Genomic DNA, 20,346 nt, shown 5'->3' with positions numbered 1-20,346 from the left:
CAACTCACAGAAAGAAAACTGTAAATCGAGATTTTAAAAATGCTTTGGTAACCGAGTTCAGTTTATGGGCTGGGAAATCTGTATTCACTATGTAAAAATTCCCGGGTCACAGCGATGACCTGATGGTCCTGTAAAAGGCACACCTTTCTCTCCCAAATTCAGCACGTTTCAAAGCTTCCATTTTCTAAACATTTGTCAGATTTATGAGGACGCATACATGAATTAAATTATTTTGTCTGTGGCATCAAGACAACTATGTGCTGGGGGACGCTGGCCCTTGCTCTTCTAGCTCAGACCTGAAGGACCCAGAGGGGATGCTGATGGGGAAACGGTCACTCCATTCCTGCAGCCCCAATTACCCAAGAAGGGGCTTCTCTCGCTCATCAAGTAACAACTGCTTAGTCATAGCCAAGCTTGTCTTTTACAAGAAGGCTATTCTTTAAATTTGAGTTTATATTTTTCTTTCAACCTAAGAGTGAATTGGAACACAAAGGTTAAAGCAGACCAAAATATATTCTAACCCCCCACAACACACTCAACCAAGCAAAGATACAAATAGGAAATGTGTGGATCATGTGACTCATGATGACTTAGTCTTGCTGTAACACACTTTGGACTGATTCACATAACAAAATCTCTGAGAAATCAAGCACTGACCCTGGGACAGCTGTAGAAGGAGTGAGAGTAATGTGTCTCAATGGGAAATATATTCCAGATGACAGGGGACAACTCTAATTCAGGATGAAGCCACGAGAACTGGGGTAAGGCGTATGCTTGTAACTGAATTGACTTGAACACCCACCAACACTCCTTCAGAATCATGATATTTTTATTATCTGAGAGGAACAAAATCATGACATTTGGGTCTTCTTCATAACTGTTTGTGGATGTTCATCAGAATGGAATGCACTTTGAGCTGGGCTGATGCAGTGTCCGCAAGAAGAAACCGCTTTGCTGGTCATGCTCAGAGGGTGGAAGGTGTTTTATGGGGTGACTTCTGACTGCTTGCTTTCTGGGGGTAATATAAAAGACATATTAACTCATTTAGTTTTCCCGACAAGCCTGTGGGATAGTTTCTATTATTAATCCCTGTTTTCGGGTGACAATAAATATCGGTCAAGTGCTATTTTAAACACTTGGCCGACTTGACAGGTAACTGTTGACTCCCTGAGATTGCATGATGGCAGGAACTTCAGAAGGTCGACCTTCTGGAAATAGCTATTCAAAGGTCAATTCCCAGTGCCATATGCTTCTCTGAATAGTCATCACTGCTTCATCTGTGTTGAGGAAGAGGAGTGTTGTGGGAAACCAAACATTCCTGATTGCTCCTGCTGAAATGCTCATGGGTACCACCAATAATATAGTTATGGAGGAGAGGAAAGAAGTCAGTTCTCCAGTCCAGTTTTCTGCCTCCATTCCTGCTATGCCATCTGCTAATGTAGCCATGAAATCACTTTTCTAAAGTTCAGTTTTATAATCTGCAAAATTGGGATGATAATGGAAGCCACAACATAAGAGCAATGTGAAGATTAAATGAGATAACACATATGCTTAGCGAGGGATCAACGGGTTCTGTGACTGGCCAAAGAGCATCCATGTGGGAAGGTCACAGAAGTAGGCTCAGAAGAAAAGTCTCTTTCTCTGACCTTCTCCTGCTCTCCTGTCTCTCACCTGTCCTTCCTCCTTTGAAGTGAGTCATAGAAACAAGAATTCCTCTTCCCCAAAGTGGGTCATAGAAACTAGACCCCAAAGCAAGACAAAACCTAAAAGGGTCACTCTCTCCCTCCTCTCTTTGCCCTTAAAGACTCATTCCAGAGAGGTCCTTCCCCATACCCAGGAAGAAGGAATGCTACACAGAGAGGCCAGGAAGAATCTGAATGCACAGTCCTTGCTGGGATACTCCCCTCAGTCTATTACCACGAGATCATAACTTTCGTCCACTTACATTTCTACGTGGCTGGTCATTCTTCATTGAACCTAAGCATAAAAATAGACAGTATTCCCTGGGTCTTTGGGTCTTCATTTCTGAAGTTTCCCATGTCAAGTGAAATTTTGATTAAATAAATTTGTTATGATTTTCTCATGTTAACCTGTCTTTTCTTATAGGAGTGTTGTCTGTGACCCTTATGATGAATGAGGACTTTCCACCCCTGCAATACTGTATGAAAATAGACAAGAGCTAGTAGTCCTCCTGTCTTCTTCCTCTATGGCAAGGGCTTTGAACCATGTGACCTTTAAGATGCCCACTGTTTCTGAAGGATCTATGATTCTCTGACATCTGACTCATAAGCCATGTTTCTTCACATACAAGCTTTTGGAGTAAGATTAGTATCTTTGGTCAGAAGAACTTTCAAACATGTTCCCATGTTATCAGAATCTTTTCTTACCTCTTTATTACAATATGGCCTCCTCCGTGTTCTCCTCTGTGTGTTTGGCACCTCACCTTTTCATAAGCTTCACTCCTACTCCATGCAGGGGTGACCAGGCTCTGGCTGGTCACCAGATTTAGCACAGATTTAGAACAGCACTGATTTAGAAAGTCAGGTGAAAGCCCATCAGGAGCTGTCACTGCTGAGCCTGGGATGCTAGACCACAGGGCAACTGCACAGGTGCTCGATTGAATGGGGAACCAAGGTCTGTGACAAAGGCAGCTCCCGTGCTGAGATTCTAGGCGTCAGCAGCCAGCAGCACTCGCTGTCAGGAAAGAGCACGTGGCAGAACCTAAGCTGGTGCTTCCTCAACTCCCAAGGCCAATGTGGTAAACCATCCTGCACAAAATACCTCCGCAGGTGTTCAGGACAACTGACAGGTAGAGGAAGCAAAACCAAAAGGAGGAATGTGATCAAGTAGTTTGCTTAATTGTGTGCATAACCATTTGTATATTCATTCATTTGCTCATCCACTCAAAAAACCATTAACTATAACAAGACTTCCAAGACTGTTCCTTAACTCGAAGGAAGCCCTAGGTTTGTCTTATCCAAGTACATGCTGCTTTTTCTCTTGTGTGCTGGGATATTTAGCATGTGGACAAATTAAACAGGATTTTAAAATGTCCTTAGCTGAATTTACCATAATTTAGCTACCAGCAAATGATGAAGAATGGAACCAAGATGCATTGATTTATACCTAGTGTGGAAAGAGAAAAAAACGTGAAATTAGAAATCACATTAAATTATTTTTTAAACTATGAAACAATTTCACCAAACGTTCAGTTGCCCATGTTGCACACAATAAATTGCTTTTGTTTAGAGAATTTATGAATACCTTGTGAACTATAGGGAGTGGTTAGCTAAATTTGTTAAGATGAAATGGCCTAATTGCTAAAAGCTTGCTTACTTATAAATTATCGCCATTCTTTATTTTCCTGACCCTAAGTTCCTAAGAGATTATCAATTTTCAAAGGTGTATTGTCTGCCTTTGCCTTTTAAAATGTAAAACTCGACCTCATGTTTTGTGGAGATGCCTCCTTCAAATGTGGTCTGAAACTCCTTTTTCTCTTTCTCAATTTCAATGGCTTGAAAGGAGCACTTAAGGCAAACTTAGTTTTTCTTCTCACTCCCTGGCTCCCTCTGCACTTTGTGAACGATGCCGTTGAAGTCATGCAATGTGATGGCCCTGATAACCCCCTCTCATGCTAAATGCAACTGTCGCCCAGTCTTTTACTTATGGCTTGTCTCTATGCACACACACTTGACATTATTACTGCTGTTTTGCGTAGTCAATCCTGGGTTTAGATTTACCCACACATTCACCATGGCTCTTGTATCTCACACCTTCCACTTGGGATCATTTCCCTTCTGCCTGAAGTAAATCCTTTTAAATGTCCTTTAGTGAAAAAAATGTAATATTTTTAAAAATCGCTTTTATTTTTTTAGAGGCAAGGTCTTACCATGTTGCCTAGCCTGGCCTTTAACTCCTAGACTCAAGTGATCCTTCTACCTCAGCCTCCCAAATAGATGGGATTACAGACATGTGCCAGTCATGCCTGTAGTCCCATCCCAATCAATGATTGAAAAAGCTTTCAATCATTTTTAAATAGCAGCTTATACAAAGTAATATGTGCTCACTGTGGAAATCTTTAAAATACAGGGCAATACAGAAAGAGTAAAACATCGTTTCGCATGCCACTATTAAGAAAGAGCCATGAAAAATAAATTCTAAATGCACTTCTGTATTACGTACCCACAACACACACACACACACACACACACACACAAACATAGAGCTGTGCACATAATTAGCTCTCAGTACTATTGGCTATTTAATATTATATACCTGGGTTTTCCACATTAAGGGGAACATATTGTGAGGCTGCTTTTCAACCTGCCTTTTTCGTTTAATAATACGCTTGACTATTTTCTCCTGTTCTTTCATATTCTTCTACAAAATTACATTCTTTTAGAGAAGGGTCTTGCTCCGTTGCCCAGGCTGGACTGCAGTGGTGTGATTACAGCTCACTATAACCTTGAACTCCAAAGCTTAGGCAGTCCTCTCACCTCAACCTCCCAAGTAGCTAGGACTACAGGAGTTTACCACTATACCTGGCTAATTTTTAATTTTTTTAATAGAGACAGGGTCTCACTATTTTGCCCAGGCTGGTCACAAACTCCTGGCTTCAAATGATCCCCCTACCTCGTTCTCCCAAAGTGTTGGGAATGCGGCCATTAGCCACTGTGCCCAGACCAAAATTAGTATTTAAAGATCATTGAAAAATTAAACATTGGCATGTGGGGTGTCTCACAATTACTGGTAAATATATATTTTATCCTAACCTGGGTAGTAGGTATGTTAATATTTCTTTCAGTAGTAGTATTTGTACTTTATTTATATGTAATAAACATTTGTATGTGTATTCTTAATGTCTTTTAAAATTATAAGGGTGAATCTTATGGACATCAAGACTTAACCTGGAACACTAGTCCCCTGATAGTTTTGTGGCTCAATCTCACACCTTTATCCTCTGCTCGAATGTCATCAGAGAAGCCTTCCCTGGCCCCTACCCCCAACTCCTGATCCATCCATCCCTTTTGTTCTGCTTTATTTATTACAGATCCCTTCTTACGTCCTGACACGTCATATATTTAATTAGTCATTTGTTTATTGCCTGCTTCTTCCACTAGGCTATAAGCTCAATGAAAAAGGCAATTGGGATTTTTTGAATAACTATATATCAATGCAGAGCAGTGCATGGCACACAGTAGGCTGTCAGTAGTTCTCTGGTAAATGGTAGAATGGGTGAATGATCTGCATAGTCATAAAGAATAGTTAGTACCAGACTTAGTAGCAATACATATTTGTGCCTCCTGTCAATCCCTTAACCATGTTATGACCTCATGGTGAACCCACTAGGTTGTACAGGAGAAAATGACACTGGCGTTGTTTTCTGTCCTCTGTGATGGGCATAATAAAAGTGTTTCTGATATGTTCTGTACTGAAACATAATTCTAAGTTTGTTTTCTTTTTCTTTGACATTAGTCATTACGGCAGAGTTGTGGACTTGGAAAGCATCCGGAAAGTATAATAATTTAGTTGAACCCTTTGTTTTCCGCCATGTAGAAACTGAAGTACCGGTAGATTCAACGTTCACCTAAGAAGATGCAGTAAGTCAGTGAACAAATTGGGGCCAAGCTAAACCCTATAGTACAGATAAGAAAACTGAAGCTTAATTAGTGCTTCCCAATCTTTTTCATGTTATGACATGCATTGATAACCATTATATAGTGTCTGTGGAGGCTGCTCATGGCTAGAGGGAAATAAACAAGGGGTTCTGGCCACCCCAGGCCTTGGTACAGTATAGGTGGTACCCCAGCATAGGTGGTACCCCAGCATAGGTGGTAGCCCAGCATAGGTGGTACCCCAGCATAGGTGGTACCCCAGCATGCTGCCATATGCCTGCCTGGAAAATCTGGCTTAAAGAGTTGATGTGCCCAAAACAGCAAACAAAAGGCGCAGCTGCAATTTGCATTCAGTTAGTCCAAGCCAGAGCTCTTTTTTTTTTTTTTTTTTTTTTTGAGACGGAGTCTCGCTCTGTCACCCAGGCTGGAGTGCAGTGGTGTGATCTCGGCTCCCTGCAAGCTCCGCCTCCCGGGTTCACGCCATTCTCCTGCCTCAGCCTCCCGAGTAGCTGGGACTACAGGCGCTGCCACCGCGCCCGGCTAATTTTTTTTGTATTTTTAGTAGAGACGCGGTTTCACCTTGTTAGCCAGGATGGTCTCGATCTCCTGACCTCATGATCTACCCGCCTCGGCCTCCCAAAGTGCTGGGATTACAGGCGTGAGCCACCGCGCCCGGCCTAAAAATAATTTTAGACACAGGCATATAGGAAAAATATCTAGAGGATATGCATCAAAATATTAACAATGATTGTCCCTGGATGCATGAATTATGACTTTTATTTGCTTCGCTTTACTTTCTGTAGCTCCTACTTTCTTTATGGAGTACTTGTGCAATTGTTGAAAGTTAAATAAAAATGAACAAATCCACCTACTTAATCCACCCAATCCCAACCCAAGAGAAAAAACAAGCAGCCGGTGTGGATATTTTGCTCTTACAGCGCCTTCAGCAATCTGACCGAGGGTCTCGCATCGTGTCAATATTGTGTTCTGCTGGTGGTTTGTATCCTCTTCTCCCTCCCCCAACCAACCCTCACCAAACACCAGCTGGAGCCCTAGAAATTTCAGTCATTCTGACATGACTTTGTTCCTGCTCCGCTTTATTTTGAATTAATGAGTTCTCTTCTCACTGTAGTAATAATCGCTATGGAGTTCTCTGGAGACCACACCTGGCTGGCTGTGTTGAGTTCTGAGCCTCTCAATTGCATGCAAGAGGCTGGAAAGATTTGAGAGAAGATTGCTAAAAGTACTTCAGGGGCCCTGGAGGCACTGATTTAGGAGGCGGAGGAAAGACATACATGCGAATATGTCAACCCTGCACTAACTAAATAGAGAATGTAGAGAAAACAGACTTCCGGTTTATGAAGAACCGAAATACCAGAAACATCCCAAAGGGTAAGTGAGACCCCCTTAGGAGGCATGGAGTAGGGGGTGGGGTGGAAAGTGTATGGTGCATGGATTTCTGGGCAGTATAATTCTGCCTAAAAATGATGAAGAAAGTGGAATCTGATTAACCTGGCCTAAGAATTAAGAAGGGTGTTCACCCCAGGTCTGCCAAACCTTGAGCAAATATTTAACAAAGGGAAAGGGGAAGAATAAGAGGAGAGTTTTGGCTGATGGCGTGATGTGCTAAGGTTTAAGATATCTTTTTCATGTGTGTTGAGACTACTGTTATGCAAAGCAGTCTGGAAAACTGACCGGAAAAATCATGTAAAAGAGAGGAGTTTGATGGGGCAGTGTGGAAAGAGAATGGAATTTCGAGTCTAAGATTTCCAGTTTTTGAGCACTGACTCTGCTGACTTACGGCTCATTAATCCCCTTGTATGAGTTTTAGTTTCCCTCCCTAGAAAAAATGGGGAAATGGCCCCTCTGAGTAGTTGTGAAAATCAAATGGGATAGTGCACATTAATGCCCAGGACTTGTGGCCTCTAAGGAGCTCTATTTCAGGAGATTCAGTTCATAGGACTTGTGAGTATTTAAATGCAGGCGCTGAGGGAAACGGAGACACAGCATTCAGCAATCCTAACCTATCTTAAGCCATTTCTGCTGCTCTTTCTTCCATTTAGGCTAAGTGCTCACCGATCTAATTTGCTGCAGATACTTACTGACAGCTGTGGTGAACACCTATGGTGGAGCCCAAGCACAGGTTTGGTTTTATTTTTAAAGCTTTCCAAGTGATTCCAATGTGTAGCCGGGATTGAGACCCACTGAGATAGAGTAATAAGAATGGGGCACACAGCCTGGAAAAGAGAGAAAAAAGAAATGAGTCCATGGTGAAGAGTAAGTCTCCTCTGCTACCCTCACCCAAAGGCTCCCAGTTCTTCTCTCTTGAGGCACTTTTAATGTTTCTTTTTTTATCCTTCCAGAGAGTTCTATGTATAGATCAGAACCTATTGTGCATCGTTGCTTTTTTCACTTACCACCATGTCATGGAGATTGCTCCACATCAGTACTACTATCCAGTTTCCCTCCTGTTTAACATAGCTACATTGTATTCCATAGTATGGCTGTACCAAATGTATTTAATCACCTTCTTAAGTTGTTTGCAATCTCTTTAGGCAGTAAATATCCTTGTCCACACATTTCCAGCACTTGTGTGATTATAAAGCAGAGTTGCATCAAAAGACATTTGAGTAAGCTCTTCTAAAGAGAATTAAAAATTGCCACAAATTTGGGAAAAGCTGGATGGTTCTGTTGCCATGAAAATAAGGAGCTACCAGAACTCAGACAAGCCAATGGATCCATGTTAACCCCACCCTTCTAAAAGCCTGTCAGGGATGGCACTCACTCCAATAAACACACCTCTTCATCCTAAGCAACAACAGTCTCACCCCAGTAACCAAGCTTCTGCACATGATGTCAACACCTCTGAAAACCGGCCAACGCTGAACTTCATACTTCCAAAATAATCCACATAAGAACAGTAGTCAATTCTATGCAGACTATGCCATTGTAACTCTATAGGATGTGTTGTTCTTTGCCGGCAACTGAGGGGACTTCAGGGTAAATTTGTGATTTTTGCTTAGATTTTGACTTTAAAATCTAGCCTCATCGTAAGATTTGATTCCAGTCCATCTGTAGTCCATTTTTTAGAAGCGGAATTGCTGAGTAATAAGACATGAGTACTTTGAAATTTGGTAGACGCCATCCTCCAAAGAGATTTGCCAGTTCACCTATCCATAATCAGTGACATGCTACTTATTTCTCTGTCCTTTAACTGAAGCAACTTAAAAAATCTTTGCAATTCTACAAAGTGGAAGAATATTTTCTTTAGATTTTCATTTCACATTTTCCAGATTTAATAAGCTTGAGCATCTGATCTTATATATACATGTGCATGTATATATAATGTATACACTCATATGCATATATATGCTAATTTCCTTTTTGTGTGAATTGATGGTTTACAGCCTGTAGACTAGTGATGTTTGAAAATCATCCTCAAAGATGATCATTTCTCTCAATTGTAGTAATGTACATGAAGAAACTGAAAAAGTTGCAGTAATCCATTTTTCATTAGAATTGATTCACCAAGAAATATGCTATTTGGCTGGTTCATTTCAAATATTCAGAAAAATAACTTGTTCGAGGAAAAAATCTAGATTGTTTTAAGATACAAAGGAGGAGGTAAATCTTTGATAGTACTAAGGTTGAGGTAGCTCTCTGCTCCCACTTGTGTTAAGCCTACACAAGTTAAAGTGGTTTTCTATTTTTAAAGAGCAGAGATTGCAGCTGTTCTAAAGCACAGCCCTCTCAGCAGGTACCTGGGAAAGATAATTGGCAGGTACCACTGAAGGTCGATGTGAAGCACTGAGCACTGCCCACTCTGAAAGACCTAACGAGGCCTGGGCTCAGGAAACCTGCGGGAGGTTCGGCTCACAAGTGGCCATTTGGGAGTGTTTCTACCAATGGCCAGCAGCTATGTTCCTTCCTTATTTGGGAAGGTTTGTAAAATAACACCAATAAATTTCTATGTGTAGTTCTTGATATTACTAAGTACTTTTGTATGTATTATTCCTATTGCCATGCCTTAGGCTACAGAAGTGTGCCTGTTTCTGGAATGGAAGCTAGCTTTAAATTAGCCCAAATAAATAAAAATGAAGACGGCAACCCTGGCCATTATCCTGGAGGTTAGCTTTACTATCAACCCCCTTTTTTCAGAAGGGGACACTTGAGGGACAGAGAGGTTAAAAACGTATGCCAGCTTGTGAAAACAAGATGGAAACACAGATCTTTTGACTTGGAACCCTGTTTCCTTTCACCATAATAAACCGAAAACTATATACATAAATATCAAAAATATTCCCTCTTCAGCGTGTACTTGGAATCCTTTTTCTATATTGACATGATTTTCCAAATATAAAAATTAGTGGCAGAAGAAGGAGCACAGACCCTTACTGTAAAACTATAGAAAACTTGAATTTATTTTGAAAGCTTCCCAAACTAATGCTGTATCTGACAAATAGCACAGCACAGTAGGCTTGGTTCTGATTGCAGAGCTCAGGAAACCTGTCTAAAATGGTCTATTTTACACTTAGGTGTATATAAAAATTGTTTTAAGATGTATTTTTATTGTCTGCAATTAGCTTGTATATGCTGCTGCCTTGTCTTCTGCCTCAGGAACTGAGCTGTTTATTTCTCTTTCTTCCAAGAAAACACACATTGCAGTGCACATTGACTAAGAGCTCGGTGATATAGTGTCTTTGTCCTATTATGCAATTCCTATTTTTAATTTGTACAGTAAAACTGTCATACTAATAATATCCTCATACCAAAAATTAATTTTGATCCTTGAAAGGTAAAAATTTACGTTCTCTGTGCATGTCAGTGTTCTTGGCAATCTAATTGAGCAATTTTTCCCCCAGACCATCATTATAAATTTGACAAATTTGGCAGACCTGTAGGAATTATTGAGCTGCAAATCTGCATTATGCTTGTAAATTCTAAGAATCTCTGCTTACCCCTGATTTCAATTTTCTGTTAAGGAGGGCTCAGAAAGAACAGGCAAGGCATTTGAAGAAATCAGAGGTGAAGTAGATTGTTTTTTTGAGATGGCATCTCCCTCTGTCGCCCAGGCTTGAGTGCAGTGGCGCAATCTCGGCTCACTGCAACTTAAGACTCTTGGGTTCAAGTGATTCTCCTGCCTCAGCCTCCCAAGTGGCTGGGACTACAGGTGCGTACCGCCATGCCCAGCTAGTTTTTGTATTTTTAGTAGAGATGGGGTTTCACCATGTGGGCCAGTATGGTCTCGATCTCTTGACCTCATCGTGATCCACCCACCTCGGCCTCCCACAGTGCTGGTATTACAGGCATGAGCCACCGCACCCGGCCACGAAGTAGATTCTTAAACAAAGAAGGACAACCCCAGAGATTAGTGGCTCAGCTTAATTTTTTTTCTAGTAGGTAATGATACAATTCTTAAACACAAGAGTCTTCATGTTTGCTTTATAGTGGCAAGGAGCTTAGAGACTTCAGCAGTTTTCTGCCAATGCTGTGTTGACTGTGCAGTCAGTTCTATTGTCATGTTGCAGTTCTTAATTATTAAGAATACCTTCCTTAACTTCTCATTTTGATTGTACCTCATATTTTGTACGTATATATATTGATTTTTAAATGGATATTAACTGAATTTTTACCATGGGCCAATCATTGTCATTCATTCTACAAATATTTCGATTGTCTACTATGAACCACAACCAGGTTAAGTGTTGTGGATTTAACAATAGGAAAAATAGATATTCATGGAGTTTACAATAGCGTGAGGGAGAGAGATATTAATCAAATTACCATCCTCCCTCTCAAATACATAGTTCCAATCCATGATAAGTGTTCTGAAAGAAAAGAATGAGGTGCCCTGAGAGAATGGGGATTGATTTGCAGGCAAGTCAGGGATGATTTTCCTGGGGAGTGTTGTTGCTTTCATATGCGTTATTCACTAAATCTTCCCAGCAAGTCTTTGGTACAGGTGTTACCGTCTGCACTTTGGGGTTAAAGAAGTGGAAACGTGGAAGAGGTTAAAGTGCTCTTTGTACTATGCCTCAGATGCTTATGCAACAAATACGAATGAAAGGGAAGTGCTCATTTGTCGGCATACATGTGGAGTTAAGGCTCTTCAAGGTCATTCTATCCTTCATTTATCCTTTCTAGGAAGTTTATTTGTGTCAAGCCATCCCTAAGAAGATAAGCTATTATTATAGCTTTGAAATGATGTGGCAATAGTTTCAAAATGTGGCAAAGTGAACTGCCCACAAGTACTACACACTTGTGATTAAATGATACAGTTATTGTCTTAGTCCATTTGGGCTGCTGTGACAAAATACCATAGACAGGGTCACTTATGAAAGCTAAAAATGTATTTCTCGCAGGTATGGAGGCTGGGAAGTCCAAGATCCAGGCACCGGCAGATCCAGTGTCTGGTGCAGACCTGCTTCCTGGTTCACAGAATTGCCCTTTTGCTGTGTTTCCACACAGTGGAAGGAGAAGGCAGGTCTCTGGGGTCCCTTTTATTTTTTATCTTATTAATTTTTTTGACCAACAAGAATGATCTTGAGAGGGGTCCCTTTTTATTAGGGCACTAATCCTTATCATGAAGGCTCTGCCTATAGGACCTAATCACCTCCCAAAATGCCCCACCTCCTAACACCATCACCTTGGGGGTTAGGATTCTAAAATATAAATTTGGGGGGGATGCAAACATTCAGACAGTAGCAGTTATCCTCCATTATCTGTATGTAACTCATCAGCTTCCTGATTTAGCTGCTGTACTTTTTAATGTGCAGCCTGACTTTGGACGCCGCCCCTCCCAAGCTTAGAACAGAGCTGCTTTAAGTCCACAGGTGTCAGAATGGCAGCACCAGCAGTACCTAAGACTTTATTAGAAATAACAGTTCTTGGGCACTGCACTAGGCCTGCTAAATCAGAATCACTGGGGGCAGAGCCCAGCAATCTGCATTTTAACACTCTCTCCAGGTGATTCTCATGCATGATAAATTTTAACCAGCATTCCCTTTCAGAATGTGGACTAATGTTAATACTGGCCTAAAGGTAAGTCTGCAACCATATGATATTTACAAATGAGTCGATGCATGTAGACCAATGAATAAATATTAGCTATTATTCTCAATACATGGAATATTAAAATTGGATGGAAATATTAAGATTACCTGGTATAGCAACTTTCTTTTATGTATAAAGAAATTGAAAAGGATATAGCTACCTTAGTTAAGTATATGCTGGTGCAATTTTTATATCATCCATTTTATTCTTTTTACTATGTTCTCCACTAAATCAGATAATCAAATGTATTCTGGCTTATGGTCAGTTCCAGAGAGAATAAGAGGTGTGTCAGCAAGCTTACTATGTCTGTCTTGTAATTCCTGCTTGAAGATCAAGAAAAGAACCTTATGAGAAATCATGTACAAATCTCATACAGACACATCAGCTCTCTGGAAAAGAGCTCCAGGCTGATGATCAGGGAAATAATGTCCTTGTAGCTGTCCCCTGCAGGGGGTCTCAACTTGGATTTGAATGTGGATTGGCAAGTTATACATAATCACATTATTTTTCCAAAATGCCCCCCCAACCTCCACTTCTCTTAATTTTCCAGCTTCTTTTCCCCAATCTACTTTGGTTTCACTTCCATACAAACAGGGAAATATAGCTGCTGTTTATGTATTTGCTAGATTTACGAAACATGCCGCTGTGCCTCTGAGTATGAATGTGATATAAATCACAAGCCATAGATGAATGACTGAACAACAAAAAAATAAGTAAAAGCTGAAACTCACATGATTTTGTAACTAATGAACCTCTTTTCTCTTCTCAGGGAACAACTGAGTCAGGTCTTCTCTTACAGGGGTTATTCACATTGTTCTTCTCTTTCTATTCAATAAAAGCTGCCTTAATGCCAAAATTAAGAAAAAATAGAAATAACTACTCTAAAAGCATTCCAATAATTGCCTTCAGGTGAGGGGATATGGTTCATTCAAGCTTCTCTTTTAACTTTTCCATATTTTCTTCAGCAAATACTAATGATAGCCACTAACTATATGTTGAGTGCTTGCTATACAGTGCCATTTAATTTTCACAACAAGCCTGTAGAGTTATATTGGGTTTACTGTAAAGGCTTCCCCGAATTCAAAGCATCTAAGTAATAGCCCCATTTACCCAGGCGGTAAGAGGTGGGGCTGGGGTTGGACACCAAATCTGCCTCCTCCGGAAACCATTAGCATAGTCCCCACCATGGCTTGCTCCTTCCTTGCCCTCCCACCCCTGTGGGGCTCCCTTTCACATCCTGCTAGTAATGACCAGCAATCCTGGACTCACTCTTCTAGATAAAATGCTCCCTCCCTGAGACGCAGGTCACGTTTCTCTCTCTTACCCTATCTCATCGCACACCACACTGACAGACTGAACTACTGAAATGAGGTAATGAGAAGAAACTCTACCCTGAAATAAGAGAAACTATACCCCAAATGAGACTTTCCTCGTGAGCTACAGACAAACCCTCTCAGCATGTTCCCAGGTCCTGCCTTTGCTTCTCTCTTGGCAGGCGCACCCTCTCTCTCTCTAAGACCAGACCATCTTTGTGACTTCTAACTTGGGCCATCCCATGCGCTCTTCTCACAAAACCTGACCTCACCCTTAACAAAGAGTTGCTTTTACCTTAGAATCTCTTCCCTTTCCTCCAGAAGCACTTTTCCCAAGTTAGAGTTAATGAGGCTAGAATCACGTGCTGATGATGTCAGTAGAGCTGTCCCAGGTAGTCTCTGGCACCCAGGTTCTATTGGGAAGAGTGGGAGAGGCGAAACATCTTCAAGATCCTAACAGCAAAGAGGTGTTGCCATGCCTGTTTCTTTATTCTGCTTGTCTACAGCAATTTTATGTATGTATGTATGTATTTATTTATTTGCTGTGTATCCCTAAAAGAATTTTGTAAATTCAGAGATTACTGTTAGCGGCGGACTGTATAGATCTGCAGCAAACTCAATTCTTGCCTCCTCAGAAGAAAGAATTTGACTGAGGGGCATAGGCAGAAGGAGAGACCATGGCAAGTTTTACAGCAGGAGTGAAAGTTTATTAAAAAGCTTTAGACCAGGAGTGAAAGGTAGTCAAGTGTACTTGGAAGAGGGCGACTTGAGAGATCAAATGCATTTGAGGGTCAAAATGCCCTTTCAACTTGGGGTTTTAGACATTGGCATACTGCCTGGGTCTTGGGTTATGTCTCACCTGATTCCTTCCTTGGGGTGGGCTGTGCACACGTGTAGTGGGCTGCCAGCCCTTGGGAGGGGAGAACACAGTGTGGTTACTGGATGTAAGGAACATGGCTGTGCTGCAGCCACGTAGGGCAGCAGGCATAGGCCAAGGTAAACAGCCTAGCTGACTCAGTGGGATTGGGGTGCAAGCACATAGTCCCATGTCTTATATAATCATAACCATGTAGACACAACATAGAGAAGCTCCCCACCTGGCTCTCAGCCACTGTTTTCTGTGCAGTGTGTAAATGTAACACTGACCCTGTGAAGGGGCTGCTGAATAAAGCCAACTCTCTTTTACCTGGTGTCTCTCGAGTGTTCTTCCAGCTCCCCAACCCACATCCACCCACTCTCCTCAGACCTCAGCTGGAGCTGGACCCCAACCCTGATTGTGACACTGGAGTTGTACAGATGCTCACTTGAGGCTTTCTTCACCTACCAGTCTAGCATTCCTAGAGGAAGGTCATATACCAGTTAAACCCCGCCATTTGCCTCTTAATGCGCATGCTTGAGCCCATTTGCCCAACTCCCAAGATCTTATTGAGAAGCTGCTGATCAACAGTTTCAGGTGTTTTCTATCCACTGGGAGACTGCCGTTCCCTGGCGCCAGCTGTGATCAATTATTTTATTATTTTAGAGAGATAGTTGACAACCACCTGACCATCGCCTGATGGTCTCCTGACATTCCTGATGCGTTTGTGTGGTGGGGTAGCCCTCTCCTGCCCTGTTCATGCCTGACTAGCTACCTACCGTAACATTACCTGCACATATTTTAACATTACCTGCACATATTTGACATCTAAAATATTTCGAATTAAAACATTCACAAGAATATTTTTTCCAGTTGATTGCTAATATTGACATTAAGGAATAGTTACAGTCACATTTTAAAGGAAGCCAGCAATTCTAATTAATGTGGTTATTTGATATTCATTATCATTCATTAAAAATACCTGACAAGTTCTTATAGTCAGAAATCATATATATTTTCCTTATCTTTTCCAAATCTTATTTCCAATGTACTTACTCCATAGAATTTTATGCTACTTGTAATATAGTTTACACTTAAACATCTGTTATCCTAACCTTATACCTGCTACAACTAAAATGTATATAAATTTAAATGCAACTTAAAAAAAATTCCATGACCATATGTCTGATAAAAACTCTTGATTTAATTATTACTATACTTTTTATTACTAATTATAGATGAAGATAGCCATGAAGGTAAGAGAATTTAAGTGTAAGGACCACTCATTCTGTGGCCACTGTTGTTGCTGGAAGTTGCTAAGTCACATAGTAATCTATCATCAAAGATTATTTTTAACGATCTCTCAGTTGGCACCTTAATAGGTCTCCCTCAACTTTATTATGAACAAAGAATTAGCTACCATCTGAGTTTTGAAATGATTACAGTCATTTACTTTCTCTACAGCTACAGCAATATTTTGAATTGTGTCTTTTTTTTTGGTGCTGTAAATTTTTTTATGTGTATGGCAACTAGACACTAGACATCATAAAATTTAGGATGAGTGACAGGTATGCCTTTCCTTAAAACAGTGAGCACTGAGAAGGGGAATCTGCATCTTCATTAGTGTTTCTGAGGAAGATCAATTAAAAAAAAACTATTTGTGGAAGTAGAGGGTCTGGAAATTTATTTCCTTAAAATACTCCTTCCTGGGTCTTAACATACCTCAGCTTGAAGACTACTGGTATAGAGAGTAAAGGTTGGGTCATTCTGTTTCTCTCTCTCTCTCTCTTGCTCTCACGCTCTTTCTCTTTCTCCCTCTCCTGTCTCTGGGAAAATATTAATTTGCAGAATCAATATAGTTTATTTTTTAAGAAAGATAAACATGGCCCAGGAGCAGTGGCTCACGCCTGTAATCCCAGCACTTTGGGAGGTCGAGGTGGGCAAACCACAAGGTCAGGAGACCGAGACCATCCTAGCTAACACGGTGAAACCCCATCTCTACTTAAAAAAATACAAAAAATTAGCTGGGCGTGGTGGCACGCATCTGTAGTCCCAGCTACTCGGGAGGCTGAGGCAGGAGAATCGCTTGAACTGGGGAGGTGGAGGTTGCAGTGAGCCAAGATTGTGCCACTGCACTCCAGCCTGGGCAACAGAGCAAGGCTCTGTCTCAAAAAACAAAAACAAAAACAAAAACAAAAAAAGATAAACATTCTACTTTCTTCATAATGTTTCCCATCTTTCATAACAAAGTCCATCTTTTCCTGGAATATGCAGTACATTTTAGTTTCTCTAGTAATCCGGTCTAGTTACCATGACCCTCTCACCCTACCTCCTCGCACAATCCTTCTCTCAACCTGTCTTCTCTCACGTCTGCCAGGAATAACAAGTGTGCTAATCACCAAATCAGACACACAAGGGCTGGGCCTAAGCTTTGAAATGATATCTTTCATTTCTCTTCCCCAGTGGTGACTACCAGGGAACGTGTGGGTTCTTTCAATGGTTGTCCTCCAAAAGACATATATACATTCTAACTTTCCAAACCTGTGAATGCGACCTTACTTGGAAAAAGGGTCTTTGAAGATGTAATCAAGGATATTGTAAAACATAGTCAAATGTTGATCATCCTGGACAACCTGGATGGGCCCTAAATCCAATGGCAACTGCCCTCGTAAGAGACAGAAGAGAAGACACATGAAGATGAGGAGGTAATGTGACCATGGAGGCAGAGGTTGGAGTGAGGCAGGGAAGGAAGCCAAGAAACAGGGAATGCTTCCAGAAGCTGGAAGAAACGAGGAAGGATTCTCCCCAGAGCCTCTAAAGGAAATAAGACCATGCTGATGCCTTGATTTCAGGCTGCCGGCCTCCGGAACTGCGGGGGAAATTCTGTTGTTTGACGCCACCAAGTTTGTGGTGATTTGTTACGGTAGCCCTTGGAAACCAATACATCCATCTGAAGAAATAATAAATGAAACACAATAAGGCAATTTTATCAATGATTAATATTAGCATTACCATAAAGATTTCATAAAGGATTTGTTATGAAGAACTTCAGAAAAAAATTAGGTCCCTTCTACATGGGCCAGTTTTGTTCTTGGCTGTAAACTATGTGAGAGGAGCTTGAGGAAGCACTTTATATTCTGAGTCACTTGTGCTTTTGAGAGGGCCCAGCTCTGAGTTCAGGAAGGTGAGTTAGTTCATAATTAGGCAGCCTTTTATTTTTATGACCAGATCCTGACTTACATCCAGGCAGAATAGGTGAAACACTGTGTATGATTGGATCTGAGAGGCTGGGAAGCCCATGAGCCAAAATACCTCGTCTACCAAGAATATGTGACCTCAAAGTCAACGGTATTCATTCTTTGGGGTTAAGGCAGGAGCTCTGAACTTAGAGAGATTATTTAGTAGTTACTGGGATCTCTTTGCTAAGCACCCTAAAAAAGGCATTGTTATTGTAAAATATAGTCAAATGTTGTTATTTATGGCAGCTATGTTCTATGAAGGTGCCACTAACATTCCTCCTAGGGGAAATACCTAGGGTTAGGTTCCTGCAAGCTTCTGGTCACAACATGTCATCCCTCCGTCAATAGGTGGAAGGTGTGTAAGGGTGAAGTGGGATGCAGTGTTTTATGGCCTTTACGCCAGACTGAGAAAATCTCATTCCTAAGAGCTTCCAGAGCCTGAATCAAAGCCATGCAGCAACAGAATGTGAGAATGAGAAAAAGGGAAAAGAGTACGTAGATGATTGAGAAAGATGAGAGACAGAGAGAAGGAGGGTGAGGAGGAAAAAGTCTTAAAGGAAAACTGGAGAAGCCAGAGAGGCCTGATCAGGAACTGGGAGAAAGAAGAAGGTGTGGGAGGCAGATAAATGAGACCCAGGATTTCATACAGCTTGGCTGGGTTTAACAGTCCCACTTGGGAGCTCTGAAGTCATAGAACCCAGGACTTCTAGGGAAGCTGGTTCTTCTAAAGTCAACCTGCTCAGTTAAGAGGAACATTGTCTTCAGAGGATCAGAATGGATTTACAAACCTTGCTTCCTCCCTGCAATTCATTCCATTAGGAGGTCACAGACTGGGGGCACACAGAAAGCAGTTCAGCTTTTGAAGAAAAGGTCCGTTTATGGCACATGAATCTGTAAGTGTGGGGGATTCTTGTCAAAAGAAGAACTGCTTCTTTTCTTAACTCTGCAGCAGATCAGTTTCTCTGCAAAGAGGACTAAGGACCTGCGAATCGGTTACTCAGAGCTTGGAGAGCCCAACCTTTTAAGCTGGAGCCGAGAGACTATGCTGGGTAGCTGCTAGAGATCGGCATCAACTTTGGGACAAGAGTCCCTGGCTCTGCTGGCCCACTTCTAGGGAAATGGTTCACAATACAGCAGCGAGTAAACCTTCAATCCCAAGTTAAGTAATGGAAGACGAATATGGTCTTTTGGGCCCAGCCAGTTGACAAATGTCTGCGGGCTTTCCTATCACGTTGCTGCTGCTCTCTCGACCCTGTCAGTGAGGAAAGAACTCAGCACTTAGGACTGCTGCTCACACTTGGGTGCCAGTTGCGCCAGAATCACACCAAGAGCGAGTGCCCACTCACCAAGCAGAGCTCAGGCAAAGGACGTTTCCAAACCGACGCCCACACCCGCAGAGCGGTCCCAGCGAACAGCAGGTGTCACCCTTTTGCTTCCAAACCCCAACCACTTTCAGGTGCCTCGCGCGCTCTCCAAACTTGTGTGCTCAGGGCTGCCGCCCCGCTGGGTGGCTGGGCCCATCTGCGCGTCTACGGGGCGCTCCTGTGCGGAGGGTGGGGAGTTGCAGCTTTCCAGCGTGCCCTCCAGGGGGATGAGGGAGGTGATGCCGAGGGCAGCAGGTGCCAGCAGAAGTCACCGGGCGTCTCGGAGGTCGAAGACTGAACTTGCAACGGGAGCTGGGGAAGGTGGTGCGCGCTTCCAAATCCCTCCCCCTTGCCCCAGCAGTTTCTCGGTGCCCAGAGCAGCGCGGGGGAGGCACTGCTAGGGCTCAGGAGCAGAGGCGCTTGGACCATGGCTGCGACCCCGGCTCCGGCCCGGGTCCCCGCGCGCCTGCAGTACAGTGTGCAACTGCGCTTTGTGACGGAGGAGCAGCTCTTTCGGCCTGGACAGTTCTGGTGCCCCAGCCGGAAATCTCTGCGGCTGGAGGTGCAACCAGCAGGGGAGGAGGCGGACGCGAAGGTGACTGATGGTGAAGTACCGGGCACTGCCCCCGCATGCCGAGTCCCACTCGGAAGTTGCGGCTCTTTTGCGCGCTAGCGCGGTAATTGGAGCGCGGGTGTGTGCACGTGTAGGGATGCGAGTGTGTGCGCCCATCGCGCGTGCATGGAGTGCGGGTGTGTGCGCTCGTTGGGCGTGTACGAGACTGCGTGTGTCCGGTCGGCGTGCGTGTACCCGCGGTGCGCTATGTTGCCCGGCGCGCGCGTGTAGAAGTGCGGGTTGCGCACTCCGGCTGTCCCAGAGCAGGTGTGCATCCCCAGCAACTCTCTGAA

At 42.6% G+C, this 20,346-nt stretch overlaps 2 long non-coding RNA genes across 2 annotated transcripts, besides 2 other annotated features; one reads left to right on the top strand and one right to left on the bottom strand.

Moving 5' to 3' along the window:
- Positions 1 to 811: 811 nt before the first annotated feature.
- Positions 812 to 19,723, bottom strand: LINC01231 (long intergenic non-protein coding RNA 1231). The gene is made up of 5 exons (NR_121585.1): positions 19,423 to 19,723; positions 14,277 to 14,394; positions 7,718 to 7,852; positions 2,388 to 3,126; positions 812 to 1,012 (listed from the first exon to the last, which is right to left on the bottom strand). It is a non-coding gene; the product is annotated as a long intergenic non-protein coding RNA 1231 (long non-coding RNA).
- Positions 5,513 to 6,885, top strand: LOC105375959 (uncharacterized). Its single transcript, XR_929439.3, has 3 exons — positions 5,513 to 5,600; positions 6,419 to 6,611; positions 6,748 to 6,885. It is a non-coding gene; the product is annotated as an uncharacterized LOC105375959 (long non-coding RNA).
- Positions 19,377 to 20,011: an enhancer, noted in NCBI's record as "H3K27ac-H3K4me1 hESC enhancer chr9:3181301-3181935 (GRCh37/hg19 assembly coordinates)". NCBI's record gives its function as "activates a minimal SCP1, AML or CMV promoter by ChIP-STARR-seq in naive H9 embryonic stem cells {active_cell/tissue: H9 hESC(naive)}" and the evidence as "EXISTENCE:reporter gene assay evidence [ECO:0000049][PMID:30033119]".
- Positions 19,409 to 19,578: a silencer, noted in NCBI's record as "silent region_19738". NCBI's record gives its function as "represses an Ori minimal core promoter by ATAC-STARR-seq in GM12878 lymphoblastoid cells {active_cell/tissue: GM12878}" and the evidence as "EXISTENCE:reporter gene assay evidence [ECO:0000049][PMID:35858748]".

Source organism: Homo sapiens, chromosome 9 (genome assembly GCF_000001405.40).
Source record: "Homo sapiens chromosome 9, GRCh38.p14 Primary Assembly".
Lineage (NCBI taxonomy): Eukaryota > Metazoa > Chordata > Mammalia > Primates > Hominidae > Homo > Homo sapiens.
The sequence above is the reverse complement of the archived record's forward strand: the minus strand, read 5'-3'. Positions and strand labels throughout refer to the sequence as shown.